A 26,705-nucleotide genomic window follows, 5' to 3' on the forward strand; every position below is an offset into this window, starting at 1 on the left:
GTACACTACCCCATTTTCACTCTAAGTACGGTATTTGATTGTGAAACCATCCCGACATCCCCCCCCGCACCTCTCCCCACCGACTCCCCAAGTCTATCTTTTCTTCTAAACTTTAAGCTCCATAAGGGAAGAAACCATGCTGCCTTATTCGCCATGGTAATTCCAGTGCCTTCCTGACACCCAGCATATACCCCATAAATACTGATTGGCTATTACGCGCATAACGTGAGATCAAAAGGAGTTCCTACAAAGACCCTTAAATCCTCCAGACTTCTTAAGCTTAGGAAAGATTTTTGCTTGGTTTTCGGTTTTCTTTTTCTTATTTTGAGCAGCAGACCAGCGTGACTCCACAGTTTCAAAGAGCAAGCGTCTATATTTGTGTGACCCGGGGCCGAGCTGGGGAAGGGGAAGCAGAGCAGCGCTGACGCAGTCAGGTCCCTGGTGCAGGTGCCAGCTCCCCACAGCGCGCCGAACTCCCCAGTATGAGCGAACCTCAAGTCACTGCCCTCGCGCTTGTCGAGCGAACTCTCAAGGCTTGCAGGTCGTCTCCAGGAGTCAGAGAGGTCCGGACTCCGGGGATTCCTGCTCCGCGGAGAACTGGGGAGCCCCCGTTCCTGTGCCACTCTCAGGTGGGGTGACTTTGGGCTCTGGGAAGGAGAGCTGTGTCCGTGTCACGAGGGGGCCCCGGCAGGTGGCGAGCAGCACCGAAGCGCGGGCCAGGACGCTCGTTTCTCGGCGCCCTCTCCTGGGTCAGTGGCGCATCCACCTCCCCAGCCACCAGTGACCAGCGGGGGCGTGCGCAGCTTCAGAGGTGCAGTTTGGAACTGCCCTCCCCCTTTCAGTGTAGGACTGGCGACACTCCTTTCTTCCTGCAGGTAGCAATCTCCAGGGACCTCCCTCAACCCTGTGGAGGGCAGTTTTTTCAGTGGCTCAAAGAAAACACGTCTTTCGTGTCCCTGGTCAGACTGCTCTGCCTGTAACTGCGGTGTGCAGAGAGCCTGCGCGAGACCGTTGTCCTATCTCACTGGGCTTCAAAGCTACCGAAAGCAGTCATGAGAGAGGAAATGACCCGAGGCAGGATGGTCCCCCAGCTCCATATCCCAGCCTGGAGAGACCTATTTCTTCCATTCTGCACCTTGGGCCTGGCAGCTTAAGAAATAATGACACATGGCCTGCAGGCCAAAATACCTTGGTTCTATTCCCAACCCTGTCACTTACGGGCTGTGTGACCTCAGGCAAGTTGCTAAATCTCTCTGAACCTCAGTTACTTCATCTGGAAAGGAATGGAGTTGGACCTCGTGATTAATAAAGTTCCTTTTCAGCTCTGATCTCCCAGGATTCTAAATCTCTGCTACCTGAAGATATAAAAACATACCACATTCTTTTCCCCTAGCAATACAGTTTTAGTGGATAAGGCTAACTATACAGTTAATGAGACTTAATATACAGTTTTAGTGAATAAGACATACATGTAGAAAGCAAATGCAACATGCTTGTTTCATTTATGGCAAACAACTAATAAAATATATATTTGAAAGTTTCAACAAAGGACTCATATCCAGATTCTACAAAGAACTCAAACAAATTGGCAATAATAATAATAATCCCATCGAAAAGTGGACAAATGACATAAATAGACATTTCTCAACAGAAGATATATAAATTGCCAGCAAACATATGAAAAAATGCTGAACATCACTCATCGCCAGGGAAATGCAAGTTAAAACCACAGTGAGATACCACCTTACTCTCTCAAGGATAATCATTATTAAAAAGTCAAAAAACAGTAAGTGTTGGCATGGATGTTGTGAAAGGAGAATGCTTTTACACTGCTGTTGGGAATGTAGATTAGTACAACCTTTATGGAAAACAGTATGGAGATTCCTTAAAGAACTAAGAGTAGAACTGCCCATTCAATCCAACAATCCCACTACTGGGTATCTACCCAAAGGAAAATAAATCATTATATGGTAAAGACACATGCACCCGTATGCTTATTGCAGCCCAATTCACAATTGCAAAGATATGAAACTAAACTAAGTGCCCATCGACCAATGAGTGGATAAAGAAAATGTGGTATATATACACCACGGAATACTACTCAGCCATAAAAAAAACGGAATAATGTCTTCTGCAGCAACTTGAGTGGAGCTGGAGGCCATTGTTCTAAGTGAAGTAACTCAGGAATGAAAAACCAAATATTGTGTGTTCTCACTTATAAGTGGAAGTTAAGCTATGAGTATGCAAAGACGTGCAGAGTGGTATAATGAACTTTAGAGACTCGGAAGGGGGAGGATAAGAAGGGGTAGTGGAATAAAATCTACATATTGGGTACAATGTACACTAGTCGGGTGAAGCGTGTGCTAAAATCTCAGAATTCACTACTATAATTATTCATGGAACCAAAAACCACTTGTACCTCAAAAGCTATTAAAATTTAAAAAAAGTTTTTTAAAGAAAAAATGTTTCAGTATTAAGAGCCCTTCATGTGACTAGGAATTGAGGATACCAACAACAAAATAAGTAGATAAAATAACAAATAAAAGGATTAACTGCTGTCTCTGTGTTCAAAGAGCCTACAAATAGATATACAGACACATGAAAGATCACAACACAAAGAAGTAACAGCATGAAAACTAGGTAAATTGAGTATAATAACTTTTGTATTTTGTTTGGATTATAGCTAAAACAGTGAAAAGAGGCAAGGGTAGACTTGGTGATATTTTTTATCTATCAAGACTCAGGGCAGCCCAAGTACATCCATAATGCCATTATTAATGACACTGAAGGCCTATTTCCAAATTATTATCATTCAGTGCCATCTAGTGTTAAACTGATGGATGGATTTTTTCATATTATTTTGTTTTTGTAAATTCCTTGTCCAGCTCTATGTAGTCAGATTAAAGTCAGGCAAACAAACTCTGCCTCTTACACATCTAGTCTTATGATGTGATGTCTGTATTCTGAAAACTCATGTGTTTCCTGCCCAGCCAGGCACAACCTGTGGTTCAGGCTCTCAACTCATACTTTGCTCATCTTTCCTGGACTGCCATCACTGGTGCCAGCACTCTGTCCATGGTCTTTTCCTTCAGACAGCAGAATTTCATAGGACTAGATGCATCAGTTTCTGAGCAGAAAGTTCCACTTCAGACTGGATTTTGATGCAACTCCTAGAATCTGGAGTAAATCTTTTTGTAATGTTATCTATTAGTTCAGCTATCATTGGCATGCTGGCCCTTTCTATACCAGCGCAAGGGCTGATTGTTACATTTTTGGAAATTGTGCAAGTTTCCATGTATCTTTCTTTCTTTTTCTTTTAAGAGTTAATTCTGAGGTTATCAGGGCAGGGAGAAAGCTACTAACTAGCCCCTTTTGATTAAATGTGGTGGTAGCCATGGACCAGCAGCTACTGAATTGAGCAGAGGGTCAGAGGTGAAATGGAGAGAGAGCTCTGGGAATGAATGTGTGTGCAGTAGACTTTGGAAGCCATTAGCTCACAGTCAGGTAAAGTGGCCCTCTTTAATAAAACACCCACACACACTTCAAACTTCCAAAGTTCACTCTACAGGAGGTTCTACTAGGAGGAAAGAAGGGGGTAATGGACCATGCAGTATCAAATCTGCAATTAGAGTATAATAATTACCACTATCCCTATGATGCTGGCCTTGATGGGCTCTGTTTCATCATTTAAATATTTTTAACTAAGCATGAGCAAAATCCCTTGACTCGATAACTATCACACAGCTGAAAAGGAATAACAGATTCAAAAAGAAGCTATAGGAAATTAGTGAGGAAAGAGAGAAATAAACATACAGAGTGCCATAAAACCGAATATTTGGCTTATTTTAAAAACGTGCTTGCTCTCTATGAAGTTTCAAATGTGATCCCATTCCCCATGGATTTCCAGAAAGAAAAATAAGACCTTACCTAAAATATGTCATTAACTAGTTTCTACTCTACTTCTTTAAGACTGCTCTTTCTATTTAACAGTTCACTTCTTGCAAGCCATTGTGGACAGTTGTGCCTTTCAGAGACCAGATTGGGCCAAGTCCTCTCTGTCTTTTAGCTAAAGCCCACTCTCCCAGGAAATGCTTCTGCTCTAAGACTCAAACATTCCCTGTTAGGTGAGGTCACTGACATCAGAAATGGCCTCCCCCTTTAGAGCTGGCCCTCTATACACAGGTAGTGTAATTTTGTATTTTTTCTTATTCTCTGTGGTAGAGATTGTTGGTTGACTGCCAACATCTATTGGCCCATTTCTCTAAATAACAGAATGTTTATCTGGGCACACACCTGCATGGAATTAGAATGATATTTCCCAGTGTCTCTTAAAGAAAAATGTGGCCACTTTATTAAATTCAGGTAATGGCATATAAGTAAATGATGATGTGTAGATTGCAGGAGCCTTCTTTAAGAGACAGCTGGTGTACCTCTTTTTCCTGTCCCTTCCTTTAATCCACAGCCTGGAACATGGATGCTTGCATTTTGAATCCTGAGGACAAGGACTACTTGCCTGGATAGTAGGGTGATAGGATTATGTGGAACAGAGTTGCCGTATTAGCCTATTAGTCTAGTAGGACTCACTTTTAGACTTTGTTTATAGAGATAAATAAACTTTTTGTTTGTATTATTTTTTAAAGCATAGTTATTTTGAGTTTTGCTTTTGGAGACAGATCTTTTATTGCATTCCCCTCCTTCCCCCAAAATTCTTAGGTTGAAGCATTAACCCAAGGTACTTCAGAATGTGACTTTACTTGGAAATAGGGTCATTGCAGATGTAATTATTAACAGTTAAGATGAGGTCATTAAAGTGGTCTCTAATCCAATATGACTGCTCTTCTTATAAAAAGGGGAAATTGGGGTACAAAGGCAGACACACGCACAGGGACACACACACACACACACAAACACACACACACAGAATGCTGTGTAGATGAAGGCATGGATCCAGGTGATTCCTCTATAAACAAAGAAACGGCAAAGATCGCCAGCAAATCACAAGAAGCTAGGAACGAGGTTTGGAGCAGATTCTCTCTCACAGCTCTGAGAAGGAATCAAGCCTGCTGACATCTTGGCAAGCCTCTAGAACTCTGAGACAATAAATGTCTGTTATTTATTTTCTAGCCTTAGCAAACCAATATACAATCTTAGCCAATTAAAGGCTGACTAGAATAACCTTAGCTTAATCTAGGGCAATTTTCACACCATTCAGACAGCAGAAACTACATACACATATCCATGTACCCATCTGAACTTCTGTCATAATTTCTCAGTCTATCAATTTTAGCAGTGTGGCCAAATGTCAGTTTCTCTGGAATGCCAAAATAAGGGAATTTTGTTGTGGCTGTCCTATGAAAATGAAGCTCTGTCACAGAGAAGTGTGTGAGCCAAATCCAAATACTGAGTTTATTTTACTGTCCAAATAGAATATTTTCACCCCAGTGAAGCAATTGTAAGCATCTCATCCAAAGCATATTCACTATCCTTGAGTATTCTTGGTTGCTTATTGAATGAATAAGTGAATGAGGTGGATTTGGCTGACACTAACCTTTGGGATTACCTCACAGCTTGCCAGTGGCAAGCTTAGTAAGTACTGGGCCATAGTGTTTGAGGATAGGTCTCTAGAGTCATATGTCTCTAAGTTCAAATGCTAGCCTCCTGTATTAGTCTGTTTTCATGCTGTTGATGAAGCCATACCCAAGACTGGGTAATTTACAAAATAAAGGGTTTTAATTGGACTTACAGTTCCACTTCACTGGGGAAGCCTCACAATCATGGTGGAAGGCAAGAAGGAGCAAGTCACATCTTACGTGGATGGCAGCAGACAGAAAGTATGAGAGCCAAGCAAAATGGATTTCCCCTTATGAAACCATCAGATCTTGTGAGACTTATTCACTACCATGAGAACAGTATGTGGAAAACTGCCCCCATGATTCAACTATCTCCCACTGGGTCCCTTCCACCCACAACATGTGGGGATTCAAGATGAGATGTGGGTGGGGACACAGCCAAACCATATCACCTCCTTTCCTAGTTGCTTGGTTTGGAAGAGTTATGTAATCTTTTTGAGCTTCAATTTCCTCATCTATAAAATAGGGAAGATGCTAGTTACTCTCTTATAGGGTAGTTATGATTTATTTTATGTGAAATGTTTAGAATGGTCCATGCCATGATGTACTGCAGTTGGTTTGTACTGGCTCACAATGACCAATAGTACACCTTTTTTCTGATTCTGCCAATCTTCCCATCCTCACATCCAGTGACATCATATTGGTAGTTTGAAATTAATTGGCCATGGTGAGAATATTTACACTACAGATATTTGCAAATACTATACAACAGGGGCTAGCTTGCCAGCACACCGTTGGTTAGATGACATCCGTAAGTTCTGTATAAATCTTAACATTATTATTACTCAGTAGGTACTCCTGCTCCCTTATGGTTTTGAGAAGGCCTTCTTCTAGTTAAATAAATCATTTTGAATTAAAATAACACTGATGGGACTCTTAGCAATGTTTTACCTCTTGGGAATCACTGCCTACATTTGTGGTCTATAAATCTGAATCCTTAATTCACTCGGATTGATTTTTGGCTCCGTGAAAGCAGGAGCTTTTCTCACTGCTGTAGCCCCCACACATGGCACAGGCCTGGGACAGAGTAAGCACTCATAAGTATTTGTTAAGTGAAAAAATAAATGAATGAAAGTATCCCAAACACTTGCATTTTCAAAAGGTTTTGACATCCACTTCCTTTTCTTCTCAAAGCTACGCTTTGAGATGGATAGGTCCTATTTTACCTCTATTGCATCGATGAAGAAACTGCAATGCAAAGAAGTGTCTAATTAGTCATTTGCTTCCTTTCATCAAATATGTCCATTACACCAGTGTTTCTCAAAATGTGTTCCATAGATCATAAATCCTGAAGGATGTTAATAGTTATTATGTGCCAGGGGACCCGTGGATATATAAGTTTGGAAAATAGTGAAGTAAAAAAAAAAAAAATTGGTTTACTTACTACAAGTTTTCTCAGAGCCTTATTAAGCCAATGTGCATTGTGAACACAGGAGGTAGTGGAGATAGTTAAAGTATGCAGCATTTTCTATTTTTGACTATAGTTTGCTTGATTGATTTTTTTTTTTTTTTTTTAGACAGAATCTTGCTCTGTTGCCCAGGCTGGAGTGCAGTGGTCTGATCTCAGCTCACTGCAAGCTCCGCCTCCCGGGTTGACGCCATTCTCCTGCCTCGGCCTCCTGAGTAGCTGGGACTACAGTTGCCTGCTACCACGCCCGGCTAATTTTTTGTATTTTTAGTAGAGATGAGGTTTCACCGTGTTAGCCAGGATGGTCTCGATCTCCTGATCTTGTGATCCGCCCGCCTCAGCCTCCCAAAGTGCTGGGATTACAGGCGTGAGCCACTGCGCCGGCCACTTGATTGATTTTAAATGAAGCATCCAGCAGTGTTAGTGTGAAACTTCATTAGGTAGTACTTTTCAGACCTTAACTTGCATATGAATTGCCAAGGGAACTTACTAAAATGCAAATTCTGATTTAGGAGGGAAGAGTGCCTAGGGCAGGGACCTGAGATCCTACATTTCATCTTCTTTTTTCTTCTTTTATTTGAAACAAGGTCTCACTCTGTCATCCAGGCTGAGGTTCAGTGGCATGATCACAGCTCACTGGATCCTCAAACTCCGTGGATCAGATGATCATCCCACCTCAACCTCCCAGGTAGCTGGGACTACAGGTGCATGCCACCACACCTAGCTAATTTTTTAATTTTTTTGTGGAGACGGGGTCTTGCTTTGTTGCCCAGTCTGATCTTGAACTCCTCAACTCAAGGCAATCCACCTGCTTCGGCCTCCCAAAGCTCTGGGATTACAGGCGTGAACCACCATGACTGGCCAGAGATCTTGTATGTCTAACAGGCTCTCAGAGGGTGCCCATGCTGCTGGCCCACAGGCCACACCTTGAATAGCAAGGCACTAGAACATACAAGAGTCAAGAAGAAATGGCATCTTATTGAAAGACCAAATGAGAACACTAAAACACCCTATTGACCCTCAGGACCAGCTGTTAAAGAAGCATGTTGTTCAGAGGGGTGAGGAAATAAGGGACAAACCCCCATATGATGAGCAAGTAATGAAGGAACATAGAGCTAAACTAAATAGCTGGAGTAGGGCAGGTCTTTTCAGCTGAAGTCTAGGTGGTGAATTAATTAGTGAAGGGACACAGAGATGGCTAAAGGGACCCTTGATTGCTTTGTGGACCAAAATAGCTTCATTTTTGTCATTAAAACCTAGGTTCAAGGAGAAGAGGGCAAGGCCCACTATTGGTTCAGACTTAGTTATTGTTTTCCTTCTCTATCCACAAACTCAAGTTCCATGAGTTACTAATTTTTTAAAAAACTTTTTAATTATTCAAAATGGAATATGAATGTTAGAAATTGGAAGGGAAAAATGGGGACTGACATAAAAAGAGGTTAACCTGGGTCAGGTGAGGAAGTAACGCTATACAATGTATTCAGCTATTTAAAGGCTTCAGAAATGCTCGTATCTTTTACAGACTGATCTTCCTGACTTCATCTGGTCCCTGCTTTGACCTGGAAACTTAGCTTGGGTACCTGTGTTTCTCCAGCAGTGGCTGTTCTCTGCTGGTGCCTTGTCCTAGCAGACTCTTCTCTCCTAGTTCCTTGGCAACAGTGTTCTAATAACCTTTGCGGGTCACACAGTTCCTAAGTGTGGAGCTGGGATTAGGCTAATGGAGGTGTTATAAGACTCTCCAACAATATATTCATCAATGATTCACTTCTACTAATTATAACTCGACATATTTTGGTAACTTATTGAAAGCAAAAAGGTTAATAACTCATGACTTCCTTGTAGGTCAAATCTTTGTCCGTGTAAAGCAATAATTTTGCCTAATTTTATATTTTTTCCCTTGCATTCTTTGGGTTAAGTTCATTTTGTCACTCCTGCTCTTTATATTTGTATATTTATTTGTTCATCTTTCTATAATACTAGTTTAGATTATTCTCTAGCGATTACATTTTTTTAACCCAGAAAGGAAGTATTGTGTTTTTTACTGAAGTTTAGATTGGTTGTCAGAACTCATAGATTTTATTTTACTTGTGTAGTCTTGTTCATGTTTTTGCATTTTTGTAGGTCTTGATGTTTTCTTTTACTTAATTTTTTAAGCTTTTCTTATATTGCCTGTTTTGTTTCTTTTTATCTTTTTTCCCATGTACTAATACATACTTATTTTGTTTAAATTATATTCTTGATTTCTGAACAATTAAAAAAAGAAATTATCCACCCTATATTTTTTAGTTACAAGTATGTTATGAAGCAGTATCTTTAATTTGAATAGAATTGAGTCCTTGCTAAGAAAAATGAATGAGATAAGGTATTTCATCTTCTGTTCACCACTCGTACCTGTGAAAGCCAAACAGCCTGACTTTTTATAGCTGTCAGTGATCAATACTGAAGATATAATCTGTCATTACAAAGCAGCTGGCTTGGGCTTTGAAATGTAAACAGTGATAATTTATGAACGGGTTAGTCATTTTCCCATAAACATCTGCCCATGTACCCTGTGTTGTAATACATTCATGCTATTGCGTTCCTTGTCTGTTGTAACATTCGTTGATTAGTAAATATTTATAGATGTCTCTTGTAACAAAGTTTGGCTTTGGGCATGATCAGTTAAAAATAAATTTTAAAATATCATAAAACAACTATGTAGTGCCCAAGAAGACCTTAGAAAATATTCTTTTCTTCATGTTTCTGCCCTGTGTTGTATTGGTCTTGTCTTATCTGGTAGAATTGTCATACATGTCAAATGGGGAGCCTCATTATGATGAAAAATGAAACAAAGGGTGCTTTTTTTCCATTACCCTATACCCTGAAATAGCCAAAATATACACATATGGCACCAGAAGAACAGGGAGTTTGCCTTTTTCTAGCTTGTTTTAAAAGTGCAGTGCAGACAAGCTAAATCCAGCTGGGAATTCTGTGGGTCACACGCATTAGGCGGTGCAGAATTGAAACCTCTGTCTAGAGCAGACTCTCAGAAGATTTACATGCAAGGTTAAGCTAGCATATTTTTGTTTGTGTTGCCTTAAATCTTCTCCTTTGAAGGTTATGATAGCTGCTCAGTGACTAAGTGGTTATTTTTTTAAATCAGTGATACATTCGTTGTTTAGAAGGTATCTAATACTTCTTGTCTTAATAAAAATGTTAATAACAGATGAAACTCTGTATATTAGCATATCTCAAGTGTATAATCCTAGTTTGCTATTTACCCATCTGATTTGTGTAACATTATACTGTCATTTAAAATATACTTTTAAAGCCAGATTTTACATTTCAAGTTATCTTTAGTAATAACTCTCAGTACACTCACTTGTAAATAGTTGCTATAAACTATTCACTTGTAAATAGTTGCTTTTCAGACTGTAAAAATATATTTACTCATCCCTGTAAGCTTAAATTTTGCAGCTAATTACTATTTTCTGATACTTTATGTATATATACATATATTTTTTCTTGAAAATTATTTCCAAAAATAATTATTTAAATGCAAATCATAACAATAAATGAAAACATTTAAAACACGTACTTATTTTTGTAATTGCCATTCTAAATAATTTAATCAAAATACCCCCATTCTGATTTCTTTCCCATTCATCTTTTCCAAGAAGTTAAGAACCTGAATTTTAAAAAACACTGTACCCAAGCAGCAAAACTGTGCCAAACTTGAAAGGCCGACCCCACCTTTTGGCTCTATTGACCCTAATACTTTTCCAATTAAAGAAAAACTTAACAAAAAATAGAATGCAATGACTACTTTAAGCCACTTGGCACTTTGGGGCTTTATTCTGTTTTCAAACTGGCATATGATAATTGAATTTTCTTGGGGAAAACTCAAAGCAGCAATCCAGCTTTTTCGAGATACTCCACTTGATGAATCTCCACTCCCAAAGAACATCAGTGAAGCCCTCGTGGTATTATCTTTGTTAACAAAGAGTCACCACATTTTGATGATTCTCATTCTAAGTGCTAAGACTTAAAATGGCAATATAAAACATAGCTCAAAATGTTTTAGTAGAACTTAGCTTTATCTCTTGTTGACTTTTCTTTACAGTTAAAAAATATAGAAACCACTTTAAAAGCATGCAAAAAAAAGCATGTCCCATAAGCAATTTACTTCATATTGTGAAATTAACATGTTCCATATTTCAAAGGTTTGACAAAGCTCTGTGCGTTGTCATTGACTAATTGATGGAAACTTTCAAAATCTCTGATCCTCTGGCTGGTTATTTACTGACAGTGTCCTTTATGGGCTTGTGTCTTCTGCATTTCAAGGACTCATGTGGCAGCATAGAAACAAAGGATGTTAAAAGGTACAGTCAGATCCTGCACACTGGGTGTTAAGTTTACAGTAATTTGGATGAGTGAAGGGCCATTTCATTATCTTATCAACTGAGAAGGAATGGCAGAGCTGACCACTAGACTGGGATGCTATAGAGGTTTTAGGGGCACAACTTGGTTTTATACTTGGGAATGAGACAGGAGTTCAGCAGGACTTGTTTCACAAGATACGAATCACAAAGACCTTGCTGGTAAAACAGGATGCAATAAAGAAGCCAGCCAAAATCTGCCAAAACCAAGATGGCAACAAAAGTGACTTCTGGTCATCCTCACTGCTCATTATATGCTAATTATAATACATTAGCATACTAAAGGAAGAGCCCACTGGTGTCACAACAGTTTACAAATGCCATGGTAACATCTGGAAGTTAACCTATATGGTCTTTCAGTGGGAGGAGCCCTCAGTTCTGGGAATCCCCTGCTCCTTTCTCAGGAAACTCATGAATAATCCACCCCTTATTTATCATATGATCAAGAAATAACCATAAAAATAGCCAATCAGCAGCCCTTAGGGCTGCACTGCCTATAGAGTAACCACTCTTTTATTCCTTTACTTTTTAATAAACTTGCTTTCACTTTACTCTATTGGCTTGCTCTTGAATTTTTTCCTGCAGAAAGCCAAAAACCCACGTGGCCTCCTGGGGTGAGTCCCACTTTCAGCATTTGCCCTGCGACAAGTAAAAAGACTATTTGATTTAATAAATCCTCCATCTTATTTAAATTTGGGTGATTTTAGCATATTTATAATTGGGAAAGTTTTCAAAGTGATACAGGATGGTGATAAATGCACACATGTTTACAATTCAGTATTACAGCTCTCCAAGAGTTTTCTGGTTTCTTTTACCACACTCAGAATTTGAAAGGCAACCATCTGGGTCATGAAGATGCTTGCTGATCAACTGCTGGGGTAGAAGAGACTGCTGCAGTAGAAGAGACTTTAAGTCCCTTGCTGAAGACTGCAGTCTGGCTTACTGGTTTTAGTTATTTGCACTACCTAACCTGTATCTCAAGGACTGTGGACACCATACAACATCACAGAAAACTTGATGCTTGGAGGTTTATCGGATTATGAAAGATGTTGTGTCTGCCTGTGGTATCCTGAAAGTACAGATACCTGCAGTCTTGAACCTCAACTTCTGGATTATTTCGATTATGAATTCTTTAGACAGTTTTTTTTCTTTTTCTTTTTTATTTTTGAGACAGGGACTTGCTCTGTTGTCCAGGCTGGAGTGCAGTGGTGCAATAACGGCTCACTGAAGCCTTGACCCCGCTGAGTTCAAGTGATCCTCCTATTTCAGCCTGTTGAGTAGCTGGGACTACAGGTGCCTGCCACCATGACAGGCTATTTTTAAAATTTTTGTAGATATGGGGTCTCACTGTATTGCCCAGACTGGTCTCGAACCCCAGGACTCAAGCAATCCTCCCACCGTGGTCTCCCAAAGTGTTGGGATCATAGACATGAGCCACTTCCCCTGGCCTTAGACAGTTTTGGTTCCTTCAGAATTAATGATCTGCATCTGCAAGGCATATGGATCTCCACTGATTTACAGGGGGTTTGCCATTACTGAGTTGACTTGTAGACAGAAAAACAAACTGCCTTTGTTGAGCCATTTGACTTTTCCTCATATTTTTCCCTTTTGTGAAAGACCTTAACTGAGGATCCCTGCTTTGCCTCTGGAATATGCCTGCAGTAATGTTTGTTGAGAAATCTGAGTTTGGGAGTAACTGTTCCTGTGGGGCTGTAGAAGCTGGTTGTCATTCTAATAGATTCCTGAGCCTTGATATTGCTTCAAATTAGATTGTTGCAAGTTTAGAAGGTGCAGGTGAAGTTTTCCTTTCAGGTTTTGCTGGTACTGACACAAGCACAGACATGCTGCCCATGAGTGATAATCTCCGTCTTCTTCATCCTCTTCTCCATGAATTTTTAAAACAACCTAAATTACCACTGATAACTGTCTCTTCTGAGAGTTTTCTCCCTCAATACTTATTTTTTTCAGACTTGGTTCTGGAGAGCGGATTATGTCTTATTTAAGCTATTAAGTATTTCTGATTCACATAAAAGTATAGTGTTCCTCCCTTTTCTGTGGGGGGATACGTTCCAAGACCCCTAGTGGATGCCTGAAAGCATGAATAGCACCGAACCCTATATATGTATGTGTGTGTGTGTGTGTGTATATATATATACTATGTTTTCTCACATACATACATACATACATACATACTTATAATAAAGTTTAGTTTACAAATCCGGCACAAAAAGAAATAATAATAACAACTAATAATAAAATAGGGCAATTATATAACAATATACTAAATTTATGTGACTGTAGTCCCTTACTGTCAAAATATCTTATTGTACTGTACTCACCTATTTTCTGATCGTGGTAGACCGCTGATAACTGAAACTTTAGAAAGAGAAACTAGGGATAACGGAGGACTACCATACCACTTCATACACCTGTTTTGTGCATCTATTTATTGGCAGCCTGTATTATCTGAAGCGATTGAAATGGAAACTTTTTAAATAAGTGCCACCATCTGCCTTTGGACTTGCGATATTAAATCTCAATAGAAAGAGGAGCAGAAGCATAGGTTAATGTCGCTGTAGGTTTTCCTGAGATGAGAGATCCTCCTGCACACAAGGGAGGTCTCAATGAGGTCTTCTGGTTCCAGCTCAATATCAATTACACCCCTAGAGGGCGCTGTTTCCCTCAGCGGTTTCCTTGATGTTTGCAGCTCAGGATCGTGCCTCCTTTTGCCTCCTAGCTGGACACCTTTCGTAGGGTGTCTGGAGCTGGAAATGGCAAGGGGTAGCCCACATCTTCCTGTCTTCTGTCGTCTCCTATCACTTCACTAAAACTAACAAGCAAAATCAGAGCCAAATGACAAGACGACTTGCTTCAGATTCTAGGAATCAGCCCAGTTCAGTTCACTCTGTGGCTTCATGATGGGTTAAATTTCATGATGGGTTAAACAACTTCACTCATCTATACCTTCAACAATTGTGCCATAAGTCTGAAGTCTATGACTCAGGCTTCCTGACTTCAGTGTCTGATCACTTGTTTTTATTATGTTTGTGGTGTCCCATGTCCCTTAACCTTAAAATGCACTTACCTATGAATGTTACATTGCAGGTATCCACTCAGTAACCTCTGAAGTATAAAGTCAATGAAGAAAGGGTGCTCTTTTGTCCGATTCTTATTTAAGAGATAGTATAGCTTTGTATTAAGAACACAAAATCTAGAAGCAGACTGCCTGAGTTTACATCTCAGCAATGTGACCTCGAACAAGCTACTCAGCCTAGAAGTGTCATGATTTGTTTTACAAAACAAGGATGATAATTATCATAGCGCCTACCACATAGGTTTTGAGAATCAAGTGAGTTAGTACATAGTGCTTGGAACAGTGCCTGATACACAGTAAACTTCATAAGCCTTTTCTTTTTGTTATTATTTAATGTGCTCACATCAAAATGTCCAAAATGGTTAAAAAATATTCATTGATGATGATTTACTCTGACTAGCAAGGAGTTGGTGCTCCATCAATGTTTAATGAATTGAGTCTAAAGCAAAAATAAAGATGACAAAAGTGCTGAAACATTTTAATCAAAATTTTCTCTAAATGTAAGGTTTTTATTTTACTACACACATTCCAGGATTTGTTTGGCTAAGGGGATTCAGAAGTACCTGGGAGCTTCAATTTATATCAAGCTGCTAATTAATTAACTTCCAAAGAAATTCCATGGGTAATTGGTATGATATGAAAATCCTAGTGTGCTTTGTAACCCCCTTTATCTCAGGTAAATCAGTTTCCTTGAACACATTGCAATAGCGTTTACTGAGTTAGGTACTCTGTATGCGTGTGGTTGTCCAATTCTACCAACACCATAAAGAATATATTCTATCATCATCATTTTAGAGAGGAGGACATATGCCCAGAGTCACTCAACCAACAGGAATTAGAGTCAGTACGAAGGCACAAGTTGTCTTCCTGCAAAACACAAACCTTTCAATTGTCCATGCTAATCATAGTTAACGATCATTAAAACAACAGCCCAGATTGAACTGGTGGGAATAAAAAGGCAGGAAAGTGGTGTTTAATGCTTCTTCCACCACTTAGAGGCAAGTCATTTAACTTCTCTAGGACACAGTATCAACAGAAAAAGGACACTAAACCACTTTTCTGAGGCAAACTGAGCCAGTTTTCTTGCAGTCTCTTTCAGGTCCATGGTATTTATTATTTTCACTGATTTCTCTTATTTGTGTATTTGTATTTGTTGAGCATCTGTTATGTGCAAGGCACAGTGCTGGAAGCTCCACAAAATGAAAAAAAAATGAAATAGGATGTAATTCTTTGCCTCCTTTGAGACTACTGGTGATAATGACCCATAAAGCTCGGGGAGTCTACCCTTTAGTTAGGGGAGGACACGTGGCAAGTCATAGTCACCATAATAGGCTGCAGTAGCAGAGGAGAAGTGCAGTCTGTGCCAGTTCCGAGGAGGCAGGAAGCATAATGAGTGGGGACCATTAGGAAAATACTTCAAGGTGGAGATGCCATTTAAACTGAGCTTTAAGAGTTAGAGAGGGGACATTCTGGCTGGAAGAGAATAGAGTTGGCTGTAGGGAGATGGGAAAACATAGTGTCTTCATGAAACAATGGTCTTCCAATTTGGATGAAATGAAGAATGCTGGAAGATAAAGCTAATTTAGATTGAGAAGGCAGGTTAAGAGGATTAGTTTGCTTATGAAGAAAGAGAAAATCTTTAAGCTTTTTAGATGGGTGTGAAGGCTTAGAGCTCCACTTTAGGAAGATTAACTCAACTTAGTATGTTGAGTCCTTTCGAGTCTAGGAGCTTGAGAGAATCCTGGTACCACTGATGGGAAATAGGAAGTCCAGAGGAGTTGGTTTGTTTCTCTTACCACCAAATTCAGGTTTCTATGTATTTAATTTGAAGAACTGTAGAAATGTTGGACTGGACTTTAGGAGAAGGAGCAGAAGTGAGGAAAGAGAGGAAACAGAGCCAGGTACAGACCTCAGGGATGTACACATGGAGTTAGTTGGCAGGAAAGAGAAGCCAGTCGAGAAAGAGAGAAGCAGCAATCAGTGGAAACAGTGGAAAAGCAGTTCTGTGTTTGGGGGTAAAGGAGAAAGAACTGCAGAAATAAATGAACACCACTAAATTGTAAGCTTCTTGAGAGTACAGGTTGGTGACATTGTTGTAAGACAATCTGTTTATTTAAATATTTCGCATGACAGGCATGGTACAGTGTTTCTCACATTCTTGGCACTCAGTGAATGTTGACTGAGATCTATATTGTGCAATGCTACACAAGGTTTGAGGAGAGGGAAGACTGAAAAGACCCCTTGTCTTTATGATCAGGAGATCTTTGGATATTGCTTCTGTATAGTGATTTTCCACCCTTTCTGTTTTAAGAAATATAAAGAACAAAGATATTATTCATATCAAAGATTAAGGTATATGCAACATTGCCTCTAGGCCATGTGATCTGTTGGACCATGAATGTAAAAGTGTCTGGTTTTGTAATAGTACATATCGTCCCTCAGCACTCTGCTGGTTTGTATGAACATCAGTATGTTTGAGAATGAGTGCAGGAAGGTGGAGGTAACCAAGCTGTCCATCTCTAGAAAAGTCCAGTGTGGTGGGTGGGTGGGTGCACACAATGAAATAGTAAGCCACACCAAAGGCCCCGTACTAGATGGAATACAGTAACACAGTTGTATCTTGTAAACATCATGTCCAGTAAAAAGGAGTAACAAATAGAAATGAGTAGAAAAAATAGGAAATAAGTGAGAATTATAAGAGAAATAAGAAGCAAAAACAGAAATAGAAGCTATAGCATAATAACATCTGTGTAAATAATAACAGACTCAAAACAACACTGTACAACATAACACAAGGACACATACATAGCCAAAGACATATTCATTACAGTGAATATCTCCTGGGGGTAGTGAGGGAATAAACATGCTAATCAGGATGATGGAGAAAATCAGACAAAACAATAGAAGGACCTTGAAAAGATTAATGATGAGGTATGTGATTAATTCATGATTTGAGTAGACATCAAAAGAAAAAAGGGAATATGTGATGGAGCCATGTTGTTTTCAAATCTCAAACAAAGGCTCATACAATAATCACAGGGATACTATATAGGTTTTACATTTATTATGCTCATTGGCAAACAAAACCAGAAACAACATATATTATCTATAGTAAAATTCGTGCATATCATAAGGCCTATTAATTTGTACTTCAACTATATGGCTCAAAGTGACATCAGGTGTGTTGGGGACAGCAAGAAGGGTGGGGCTATTCATCACAGTAGGGACAGAAAAGTCCACATGGTGCCACCCATAGGTTCTTTCAACATGAAGCTTTCCAGGAAGCAGCTTAGGTTAGGTAGACCTCAACCTAATATTTAAGACTATCATCTAAGGCATTATTAATACTTGTGACTATTTTCTAGAGCATCACATATTATGTAATTAACAAGCAGGAATTCAGTACTGACATTTGCATTTTAGCTTAATAGTTACATTTATTACTTCTTTTCATTAAAAATGTGTGTTCTAGCAAATTCATTTTCTACCCATTCAAATAATGAGATTATATCTCATCAAAGTCCAGTCCAATTTGAACATATCTGCAAAGATATCCCCAATACATAGTGATTGGTAGAAAATATGAATAGAGGATAAAAGATGGTTTACTTTTATACAGCATGCAGGAACCATGATTTCACACGCAGCAAAATGAATCATTCTGCTTCTTCCTCACTCTTTTTAAATTGAAAGTTAGAACCAGCAAGTCATGCACCCCCCATTAGAAGCCTCACTGAAGGTCTGAGGAGCTAAGGCTCAAGATGGTGTGTTTTTGCCTTGACTGCTCTCAACACAGTATTCCATCTGCTATTCCTTTGTTCCATCTGCTCTTTCTTAAACCTGTCTTGAAAAGAACAATGGCTATCATCATCCTCTGTCTCAGAGATGATCTCCATCTTCTGAATGATCAGTTTAATGAGCTCATGCTGTTTTTCCAGGAGAAAAGTAAGATCCTTCAGCCTAAAAGGACATACACATTTCATGAATTTATTTTCAGTTCTTCTTTTAGCCCTTCTGAATGTAGGAAGGCATAGGTTTTAACCTCGGTCCCTTCTGAATGTAGGAACGCATAGGTTTTAACCTCGGTAGTCACAATCCTTCCAGGAAACATGTATTTTTGAAGTTTAAATGATTTTTCCCAAAGTTACACTGTTAGTTCATGGCTAGTTTATTTTTGTTCCCAGTTTATAGGTAAGAAACTATTATAGAGAAAGGTTAAGCAGATTGCCCAGGGTCACAGTTATTACGTACCTAGTTGAATAGGGGTTTGAACTCAGGTACTAACTAACTGTAAAACCCTCATGCTTAATGACTGCCCACCACATAGTTACTCCAGGGATCTTCAGAAGCTTTCAGAGCTTTGCTTTATGAATTCAGATGAAGAATACAGTTTATGATACTACCTCCAAGAGAAAGGAAATCAGCATTTTAATTTTTATTCACTTATGATTGGAAGGCAAACTGATTGGTGAATAGTGGCAAATATGTTGTTGGTTCTAAAAAATGTCTCATGACTCTCAATACACTAGCTACAGCTATCAATAAAGCAAGATAATATATAAAACAAAAACATCAATATAAAATATAATCTTACATTGTGCATTATTATTTATGAGTTTTAAATTTCTCAAGTACAGATAGAAGGAAAAATACATACCGGTATTTCTGCTTTAATATTTCCATTTCTAAAGATTTATCAGCATTTGGTATTTCTTGTCTTATTTCCCCAGTGCAAAATAAAAAACAGAATATATGCTGTCGGATAAAAAATAGTAGTTACTCAAATTGAATTCAATTCAGGAACTTTTTCTTAAGCATGTGCCAAAATTCAACCACCACTGGTACCAATATGCATAAGGCATAGCTATGCCCTCAAGGAACCCACAATCTGCTAGGAGAAAGAGACATGTGAAGAAAGAGCTGTGAAAGGAAGTCATACATATAATCAGAGAGAAATAAAACATGTACAGATAAAACAGAAGAGGAGTAAATTAGGACAGAAATTGTTTAGAATGAGGCTTAGCTGAATTGTTCTATATATTTTCATGAGAAATGCCCATCACGGAAGGTGGTATTCTATACGAGATTCATTGTTAATTATCTAAAACTGTACTGCACATTATCCAATACAACTCAACCAATCAACAAAGTTTCACCTGGAGAAATTTCAGAAATGTTATTTTAACACATTTCATTTTAATTTAGTATCTTTTAAACCATAGGTTGACTGGAGAGGGTCAAGGGCAGGTGTGAAATGATCAAGAATGAGGTAATTCTAGGAGTTCAGGCAAGAGAAAATGGTGACTTGCACAGGCCATCCAGGAAGTCAAATGGACCAGACTGAGGGGAGAATGAAAGGGAGGGGACAGATCAAGGATGACTCCTGGGTGGCTGGATTGCACAGGCTAATGAATTGTGCTGACATTGTTGCAAGGAGGAACCAGGACTTTTTCATTTTTTCCTGTAGGGGATATGTCAGGAGAGGGTGAAACGTGAAAGCATTGAAGTTTGGTTTTGAACCTGCTGAATGTGAGGCACCTTTAAAACATGCAAGTGGAGATGTCAAGTAGGCAGCTGGATACAGGGTCCGGGAACTGAAGAGTGAGCTCTAGGATTGAGAAATCAGTTGCTGAGCATTCTGTTTCGGTAGTAATTTTAACCATGGACATGTGTGAAATCAGTTGGAGAGATACTGTGGCGTTAGAATAAAGCCTAGACTGATACTCAGGGTGACTTTATTATTTTATGACTACACAGGGGAAATTAACCTGAAAAGAACTCAGGAAGAACAGTCGTAGAGATGAAGGGAGCCCAGGCATACTAAGGATTAGCAACCTGTTATTCTGGCTCTTCATATGGCCCTTCTTCCATTATAATGCAATTGTCTTGCTTAGTCTTTGATCACTTAATTACCTCATTTTCTATAGTGGATGCTGTGTGTGTGTGTTCGTGTGTGTGTGTGTGTGTGTGTGTGTGTGTGCGTGCTATGTTTAGGCTTTGTGTCCCCACCCAAATCTCATCTTGCATTATAATCCCCATAATCCCCACGTGTCAAGGGAAAGACTGGGTGGAGGTAATTGTATCATAGGGGCGGTTTCCCCCATGCTGTTCTTGTGATAGTAAGTGAGTTCTCATGAGATCCGGTGGTTTTATAATTGTTTGGTTGTTCCTCATGCGTTCGTTCTCCTTCCTGCTGCCTGTGAAGAAGGTGCCTTGCTTCCCCTTCACCTTCCACCATGATTGCAAGTTTCCTGAGGCCTCCTCAGCCATGCAGAACTGTGAGTCAATTAAACCTCTTTCCTTTATAAGCTACCCAGTCTCGGGCAGTTCTTTATAGCAGTGTGAAAATGGATTAATACATTGTATGTATAGTGTGTGTATGTGTAAATGTGTGTTCTTTATTGTGTATTCTAAACCCTTGGCTGTATATACTCACATATATATCTACACATAAATGTAAGTGACATGTGACTAGGAAAAGCAAATAAAGTATACCTGTACTGTAAAAAAGACACTAAAAGGGTGTGGCTGGTCCCCTGCCCATCTGCTCTCACAGGGACAGCACGCATTTAACACAGATGCTATGGATGAACCACCTGAAAGGGGAGAGCAAACGTCACCCTCCTCTCACCCAGCTCTTTCATGTCTTGGTTTAATCATATCCTTTTTTTAAAAGCACAACTCCTCTGCCCACAGGCAGAGAAGACTCAAAGTCTATAAAAGGGCCCCCTTAGGGTTAACACAATGAATGAATGTCAAACAGTGTCATGTTACTGATGTTGTTATTTGTTATGTGTACTTACGAATAACATCCCACCAGATCTGGGTTTGTTGGGATACACGATGGTGGATTTCTGATCCACTTTGCGTAGAAACCAAAGTGGCAGCTTCTTCTCTAAGCTGGTATGAAGTTCCACCTAAAGTGCATTTTGGATTTATTGATAGAATCATTAGTTAGTATATGGAATTTTTATATGGCACAGAGGCAATCATTAATACAGCAAAATGAAAACTGATTTCTATGTCCTGACTTCTGTGCCACAGCTGGGCTGGCCAGGCTTTCTTATCCCCTAGCTCACAGTCACCTGCCCCTTCCTCTCACCTCACCCACTGACAGGGCAGCAATCTGCCTTGGAGTGGGAGAAGAAGGAGAGGGGGAAGTTGCTTAAAAAAGGAATTCAATTTTAGTCACTTGCTGTTTATTGTTCAGGGATAGTCACCCGATGTTTTATTGTTCAATGCTGGAGATTTAAAGAAGAAAAGGGTAGTTCATACTCTTGCGGTGTTGCAATACTACAAAATGTGCACAACTGGACAGTGTGAATGCGTGTGTGCACGTGCACACATGTATACACATCTAGGGCAGGAGAGAAGAAGGAGTGCTTAACTGGAGGAAGACAAAGGTAAGCAGTAAAAGAATTAGAACTCTCATGCTTAAGAGTATGTCATGCATTTCTCATGTCTGTGCTATCAGGTGCAAAATGGTTTCTCTATGATGAATTTTAAGTATAATTACTATTTTCAGGGATAGCAAATGAGATATTTCCTCACATTTAATTTTTTTCATTTATTTTTGCCAAATTTATCTCTGCTTTTTTACACCCCTTTGTATCTGATGTATAGGTATGTTTACTGTAACTACTTGTAACTACTAGTGAGATTTGCTTTCTAAGAACAAATACTTTCCAATATTAGTGATTTATAGCCATAAATAGTGAAATGGTAAGAACTTTCCTGACACCACTGCTTAAAATTGTGGCCCCCTCACTGTCCCCCAAATGACTTTCCCCCATGTGGCTTCCTTGCTATTTTTATAGCACTTATCACCATTTAACATACTGTGCATTAGTTCCAGCTTCAAGAAAAGCTATGTTTTCTTGTATTTTATTAATAATACCAGTTAAATATTTTCACTGATTTTCTATAATAATTTCTAGGGTTCCTTTTTTCCCCTTTGCTCTTTAGGGTGATATCACTTTCCTCTTCCCATACATATAGTTTTAGAGGTCACATACTATTTCCTCACACTTGATTGAAAAAGATTTACTCAAGCTCAATGTTTGCCAACAGATAAAATACATAGTGTGTCTTACACTGTTCATTATCTACATAGGTCCCTCAAAGATGGTCCTGGGGGAGGTTGGCAAGCAAAGCCCCAAGTCCAGTGTGGGTCAGGTGGGACCCACTGAGCCTGGCACCACTGGGCTCAGGGAGCATCTTTACCTCCTCTAACTGGTGGGGTTTCCATGTTGAAGGGTAAGATGCACGCTGCGGATTTCCCTTTCTAATTTGCAGTGGAGATATAAATGTTTATGGACTGTCTGCAGCTGCCAAAACTGTGGTGGAAAGTGGAGATACCAACATTTAAAAATACCCAAACAGCTTCAAGCCCCTCAAAATACTCATAACACCTGCCCCTGAAGAACTGACAGTCCCCATAAAGAACCCATCTCCCAGCATGCATTGTCCCAAGGCCTGTCTCCACTTCCCTTCGAGATGATTCTATGAGAGAACTAAATGGCCCTGTCAGAAATGTGTGCTACTTGTCCAGTTCTGCTCACAGTTCTGCCATGGGCTCAGACATAGGTTTCAGAATGGATGCAGAGAGTTGCTTAAGAAACAACTCAGGAGAAGTAGGAGAATGGCTTCCCGGTTTTCCAGGCGATGCTGTTTTTGATCCAAAACAAGGCATAGAAAATATGGGGGGTACTAGGATTTGTGCCATTGACTGTCAGGGAGCATAGTAAACAATATAGGTTTGTGCTTTTCAGCTCAACCCCACTGACACTTTAGTTCAGTAAGCTTCCCCAATTTTGCTTGTATTATTGTTTTTATCTATTCCCCAGGGTATTTTAAAGAGCTGTTAGGGCAGTTATGAGGTATTGCTGACATACCTGCCAAGAGGTTTATACATCTCCTCTCCATATCCATACACCTGGAGTCCTAAACACCATCTTTGTGACAGTAATAACCTGCCATTAGCTTTTCCTGCCTTCAATCTTTCCTCACTAAACCAAGATAATAACAGATCACTATAAACACCATTTTCATTGCAGAAGGGCTGATAATAACTCTCCACTAACTTACAAAATAACTTGAAGCACTTCATCATTTAGTGCCCTTTGCTAAGGTTTTTCTTTGCTGGTTTTGAATAAACCCCCCTATCATCTGCAGCAATCTAATCACCCACTAACATGAATGATCCTTCCAGGCAAAGGGGCCTTGGGCCAGTGCCTTGGCCATTTTCCCTGGTTCTGATGTGGCCCTTTGCTCTTGCTGGCCCCTCCTTTCACGACGGTATCGATGTCCTGTTAAATCCCAACCATCTTTCAACACTGACTCATCTCACCCCCTCCATGTTGCATTCTCTTAATTATTTTTGCATTTTTTCCTGTACCTGATCCTGTGTTTGTTCTCTAAGTGTTCCAATCGCTCTGTGTCTCTGTATAATATACAGCCATGTCATAGAACATAGAATTTATGAATGGTTCTCAGTTGATTTTTGATATTTAATTCTATGAATACCTAGCTGGTGTGCTAAGTAGGCATAGTTGACTTAATAGTCAGGGATCACATCCCTCTGTTTCCTCTGGGCTCTCATGATAAGTTGTACTGGACTTTGTACATACTATGTATTGAAACATTGTTTTCAATAAATAAATGTTAGTGTGTGGCTGAATGAATAACAGAGAAGAAAGAATTTGGACAAATAAAAGTGAAGAGGAGACAAGAGTGAATAGAAAGTTATATCATAACATGATTTTTCTCTCTCTCAAACTGGCCAAAGTTTCTGAATGCGTATAGTCAACTGGTCACCAAATATCCTCGAAGCATCAAAAGTGCCCATGTGAATTTGAAATTTAAAGACAATCCAGTGAAGAGCATAAAAATAACTTTGTGTTGTATGACAGGAAGGCACCTCACAAGATTCAATAGCCAAATACCTAGCCAGGAAACTTTGACACCAAATTTTACATCAAATTGTCTATAAAAATGAGAGAGATGTCACAAGAGAACAAAACCTCATGGATGCAGTTAAAACTTCAACATAAATCATGCTGTGGGGACCCTGTGATTCCCTGCACAAAATATAAGGAGCTCCTTTGAACAGCGGGGCTAGGATGCCAGTGATGCTCTTGATCAAGCAGCTAGCTACCTGGGTGGCCACATTTTAACATAACAAAAGATGCTCAGGCAATTTCTCAATTTCTCTAAGATTGTTCTCGGACATTTTTTTGTATCAACTTTGATTAGAGCAGGTATACCAGGTAACATGCAAACAGACACAGGATGTGACTCCTCAGGATTAAGAAGGTATCCATGCTAAGTAACTGTGCTCTTAAAAAAGGAAGTAACGATAATGGTGTTAATTCCAGTAAGTTTAAATAAACGTGATGCAGACAATACCTAACTTAGGTTGGTTTGACTCATGATTTTTGACTTTATGATGTGTGAAAGTGATGCATATTCAGTAGAATCTGTACTTCAAATTTTAAACTTTGATCTGTTCTGGGCTAGCAGTATGTGGTATTCTCCTGGGATGCCGGGCAGTGGCAGCGAGGAACAGAACCCAGTCAGCCACATGATCAGGAGGGTAAATGGCACATACTTTACAGTGTAAGTAGTATAAATTTATAACTGGCATATTCCTACAAAATGCCCATTTTTGACTTGTAATATTTTTAACTTATTGTGGGTTTACCAGAAGATAACACTGTAATAAGTGGGGAGGCACTGCACTTACCTGCATAGCTATCCTCTTCAATGATGCATGTTTCTGGACCTCAGCAATGTCGCCAACTGCCAAACCAATCTGAAGTATGACACAAAATTAAATCACTACAGTTGAATGGTCCACCTAAAAATGCATGTAAGGTCTGTCTTAGTCCATTCAGACTGCTGTGACAAAATATTTTAGTCTGGGTAGTGTATAAATAGCATAAGTTAATTGCTTATGGTTCTGCAGGCTGGGAAGTCCAAAATAAAGACTCGGGCAGAACTGGTTTCTGGTAAGAACCCATTCCTCATAGGTGGCACCTTCTATGTGTTCCCATATGGCAGAAAGGCAAAGGAGCTAATAAGCTCCCTCATAGCTCTTTTATAAGGGAACTAATTCCATTCATGAGGGCTCTCCCCTCATGGCCTAATCACCTCCCAAAGGCCCCACCTTCTAATGCCATCTTCTTGGTGATTAGGTTTCTATACATACATTTTGGATGGGACATAAAAATTGAAATCATAGCAAGGCCTCTGTGGCTAAAGTGGGAGACTGGGCATATAATCTACTAGTAGTAGCTGCAGAATACTTTGGTAATACACCTTACAGAAAACTACAAGGCCTATATACCTCTGCAACGATGATGGCCACATTCAGAGGTTCAGTACTCTTAAGTGTTATGAAAACTTAAGACATACAAATTAATCCAAAATTCATTTCATTTAAGATAAAAATCTGTTTTTTTTAAATGAGAGGGATGATGTGATATCACATGCAATTGGGTGTGGCCACACAACATGGTGGGAAACTCCAGGAGTTTAGTAACTAAGGTAGACAAGAGTGATTTAACAACATGGAAACAAATACTAAACTGAGAGAATGATACATTTTATATCTTACATATGTTCAGAAGGAAAACATATACTATAGGGGCAGGAGAGGCTCTGGTGAGAAACCAGAAATTTATGGCTAGATAGAATTAGCTGGGGGGAAGCTGTTAGCTCAGTTCTACTCAGTCTGATGAAATTAGCTCATTTCACTCATCCATTTATTTTCTGGTACTTAGTTCCTGCCTTTGCTGAGCCAGCATCTTGCATGCTGCACCAGAAAGAAAAGTCAGTGACTGCTCTTGGGGAGCTCAAAGTCCAGTAAGCTCTATGAGACAAGGGATCTGTCAAGGTCTCCACTGTATGCCCAGTGCTTAGTATAGAGCAGGGTACATAATAGGTAAACAAAACAGTCACAGAATGAATGAAGACAGGGAGAATATATTCTAGGGCTTGAAAACTAGCACTGAGAACTGGATATAGTCAGGAAATAGGTTTCACTGGACAGGATAATATTGTTTTGGTTTTTAATTTGCAAGTGTTCAGATGGGTGTTCTCTCCAATTTACATTGACCCCCATCAAAACCAACCATCTCTGCCAGGCGCAGCAT

The 26,705-nt window shown here is 39.5% G+C and overlaps 1 protein-coding gene and 1 long non-coding RNA gene across 5 annotated transcripts in view, besides 1 other annotated feature; one reads left to right on the forward strand and one right to left on the reverse strand.

The window, feature by feature from the left end:
• Nucleotides 1–26,705, forward strand: part of MSC-AS1 (MSC antisense RNA 1) — a 213,190-nt gene that overhangs the window by 161,484 nt on the left and 25,001 nt on the right. The window lies entirely within an intron of this gene.
• Nucleotides 421–770: an enhancer, noted in NCBI's record as "active region_27525". NCBI's record gives its function as "activates an Ori minimal core promoter by ATAC-STARR-seq in GM12878 lymphoblastoid cells {active_cell/tissue: GM12878}" and the evidence as "EXISTENCE:reporter gene assay evidence [ECO:0000049][PMID:35858748]".
• Nucleotides 16,644–26,705, reverse strand: part of TRPA1 (transient receptor potential cation channel subfamily A member 1) — a 68,761-nt gene continuing 58,699 nt past the window's right edge. For all 3 annotated transcript variants that reach the window (XM_011517625.3, XM_011517624.3, NM_007332.3), the window contains 4 exons: nucleotides 25,295–25,363; nucleotides 21,354–21,467; nucleotides 19,208–19,305; nucleotides 16,644–18,510 (listed from right to left, as the gene is read on the reverse strand). In XM_011517625.3, coding sequence (XP_011515927.1) covers nucleotides 18,300–18,510; nucleotides 19,208–19,305; nucleotides 21,354–21,467; nucleotides 25,295–25,363 — 492 coding nt within the window. In that variant the 3' untranslated portion in view covers nucleotides 16,644–18,299. The remainder of the gene's footprint in view (nucleotides 18,511–19,207; nucleotides 19,306–21,353; nucleotides 21,468–25,294; nucleotides 25,364–26,705) is intronic.

This window comes from Homo sapiens, chromosome 8, assembly GCF_000001405.40.
Source record: "Homo sapiens chromosome 8, GRCh38.p14 Primary Assembly".
NCBI lineage: Eukaryota > Metazoa > Chordata > Mammalia > Primates > Hominidae > Homo > Homo sapiens.